Genomic DNA, 3,463 nt, shown 5'->3' on the forward strand with positions numbered 1-3,463 from the left:
ATGTAAAATGTTGCAGCTACTGTGGAAAACAGTATGGTGGTTCCTCAAAAAATTAAAAATAGAATGACCATATGATCCAGTAATTCCACTTCTAAGCACGTACCCTAAAGAATTGAAAGCAAGGTCTCAAAGAGATATTGGTACACATATGTTCATAGGAGCATTATTCACAACAGCCAAGAGATGCAAGCAACCCAACTGACCATTGACAGATGAATGCATGAACAAAATGTGATGTATACATACAATGGAGTGTTATTCAGCATTAAAAAGGAAGAAAATTCTGACACATACCACAACGTGGATGAACCTTACTAAGTGAAATGTGTGAATCATGCCAAATGAAATAAGCCAGTCACCAAAAGACAAATACGGTGTGATTCCACTTATATGAGGTACCCAGAGTAGTCAAATTCATAGAGACAGGGTAGAATGGTGGTTGCCAGGGGTTGGGGAAGGGGAGAATGGAGAGCTATTGCTTCATGGGTATAGAGTTTCCATTTTGCAAGATAAAGAGTCCTGGAGAGAATGGTGGTGATCATTGCACAACAATATGAATATATTTAATACTACTGAACTGTACACTTAAATGTGATTAAGATGCTAAATATCTTGGGTGTCTTTTATCACAATAAAAAATATATCAAGCTAAATGCCCCACAGTGCTGTGGTGAGTTATTTCTGTGCATGGCAAGATAGTCTCAAGTAACAGATAAAGTTAGGTTATCTCTCACATATTTGACTTCCAGCTGGTTAATTCCCATTTACCCTGCAGATCTCACTGAAAACATTGCTTTCTTCAGGAAGTCCTCCTTGGCTCCCAGCCTAGGCCAGGTCTCCCTGTAACATTCACTTCTCCTCTGGGCTGCCGTTTCTTAAGTGCATTCTTTGTGTCAGTTGTTGCTCTAGGTGAGTATGTTCAATTCACCATGATAACCAGAACTGTAACTTCTTGCTTAATGTTTTCTCTTCTGCTACAACATGAATTCTATGATCCAGGAAAAGAATCTGCCTTGTTCTATGCTGTGTCTCCATGTTCAGTATAGTACTTGCTAGACACTTAATGAGTATTGGTCAAATAAACACTACTGTGAATGTCAATAAAATGTCTACTTTTGCTTGTCTCCCTGTAGATTTTAATACTGCTTTTCTCTTATGCATTGAGATTGGCAGAGGTTTTTCTGTAAGATCTATAGATAACATCAAGAATACAGTTTTAAAACCAGAAACTCTTAAAAATATTAATGGCAAATCTCATTTAGCCATTCTTGGTAGCTGCCAGAATCCCAAACATGCATTTCTAGTAGGTTCTCATGTCTTTGGGGACTGACTCTGCTGTGTTTCTTCTAGGCTTCTAAAGACTTAACTAAATAGAAGATGGCCATTAATGTCCTTCCTGATGTTTTTATACAATATCCTTTACTTTTCAAGGACAGAAAAGGCTTGAACTTTGGATCATGTAGTAACCAAAGGTAGGTCATCTTTATTTTATTTTATTTTATTTATTTATTTTTTGAGACAGAGTCTCACTCTGTGGCCCAGGCTGGAGTGCAGTGGCTTGATCTCGGCTCACTGTAAGCTCTGCCTCCTGGGTTCAGGCCATTCTCCTGCCTCAGCCTCCCGAGTAGCTGGGACTACAGGCACCTGCCACCACACCCAGCTAATTTTTTTTGTATTTTTAGTAGAGATGGGGTTTCATCGTGTTAGCCAGAATGGTCTCGATCTCCTGACCTCGTGATCCACCCACCCCAGCTCCCAAAGTGCTGGGATTACAGGCGTGAGCCACCGCGCCCAGCTGGTCATCTTGATTTAGACTGATCCCCAAAGGGTTCCCAGAAAGTCTGGGGTTCACCCAAAGTTTATAGGCCAAGGAGTATTTGTGTTTCTCCCTCTTTTTTTTTTTTTCACTCTACTCTTAAAGCTGTTTCATATGATCCCATTTTAATGACAGCTTCCTCCAATACTCTAGACTGGGCCTGCAATACGTTTAGCATTTCAGGGAGTTTACATTATTGTAGTTTTAATCCCAGAATCAAGTTAATTACTATTCTGTCAGAATCAGCTGCCAGAATATTTATTACTTCAGTCAATCGAAGCTGGCCATTCAAAACTTTGTTGGTGAATACTTGCTTTTTTTTTTTTTTTCTTGAGATGGAGTCTTGCTCTGTCTCCCAGGCTGGAGTGCAGTGGCACGATCTTGGCTCACTGCAACCTCTGCCTCCCAGGTTCATGCCATTCTCCTACCTCAGCCTCCTGAGTAGCTGGGACTACAGGCGCCCGCCACCACGCCCGGCTAATTTTTTGTATTTTTACCAGAGACCGGGTTTCACCGTGTTAGCCAGGATGGTCTCGATCTCCTGACCTTGTGGTCCACCTGCCTCAACCTCCCAAAGTGCTGTGATTATAGGGGTGAGCCACCGCGCCTGGCCAAATGCTTGCTTTTTTGTAGTTTCTGAGGTTAGCAGAAAGCTTGGTATGTTGTTTAATCTTACTGATATAGTTAGGTTGCAACATATGCAATGAGAGTTGCTTTCCATTCTAAATACTGGAACTTTTCTATTTTAAACATATATCAAAGGAAGTAAATAGGTTATTTGAAATCACATTTTCAAAAAATTACTACCAGATTTTTAGTGTTATCATCTGCTTTGAATGAATAAAAACATAAAGTCCATTTCATCTGCTTGCTTTCCAATTTTTAAGATTACTTATTGAGTCAACTGAATTAACATTGTTTTCTAACACATCAAAAGAGGTTGAATCTTCAATAACCAAAGAAACCTCAAGTACATACTGATGTGTTTCTTTTTTTAGATAAACATTTATTAAGTTACTATAGCTCCTTTGCTCTCTTAGAATAGGAATTTGCAGGATATTTCCTTGGTTACTAACTTGCCTGATTAGTAATTAAATTTTACTTTATTCTGATTAGGGAAATACATTTTCCCTCAATGAAATGGAATGGTATATACTTGCTACAATTACTAGATCAAATATGGCCAAGAAAGACCCAGAATTTCTCCTTCACTTATGAAACTTAATTTGGCTGGATATGAAATTCTGGGTTGAAAAGTCTATTCTTTAAGAATGTTGAATATTGGCCCCCAGTCTCTTCTGGCCTGTAGAGTTTCTGCCAAGAGATCAGCTGTTAGTCTGATGGGCTTCCCTTTACAGACAAGCAAATGCTGAGAGATTTGGTCACCACCAGGCCTGCCCTAAAAGAGTTCCTGAAGGAAGCACTAAACATGGAAAGGAACAACTGGTACCAGTTACTGCAAAAACATGCCAAATTGTAAAGACCATCAATCCTAGGAAGAAACTGCATCAACTAACGAGCAAAATAACCAGCTAACATCATCATGACGGGATCAAATGCACACATAACAATATTAACCTTAAATGTAAATGGGCTAAATGCTCCAATTAAAAGACACAGACTGGAAAATTGGATAAAGAGTCAAGA

At 39.2% G+C, this 3,463-nt stretch overlaps 1 annotated feature.

Moving 5' to 3' along the window:
• Positions 1,001 to 1,201: a silencer, noted in NCBI's record as "peak6287 fragment used in MPRA reporter construct". NCBI's record gives its function as "represses an SCP1 promoter by STARR-seq MPRAs in K562 erythroleukemia cells {active_cell/tissue: K562}" and the evidence as "EXISTENCE:reporter gene assay evidence [ECO:0000049][PMID:32103011]".

The sequence above is a fragment of the Homo sapiens genome, chromosome 6 (assembly GCF_000001405.40).
Source record: "Homo sapiens chromosome 6, GRCh38.p14 Primary Assembly".
In the NCBI taxonomy this organism is placed as follows: domain Eukaryota; kingdom Metazoa; phylum Chordata; class Mammalia; order Primates; family Hominidae; genus Homo; species Homo sapiens.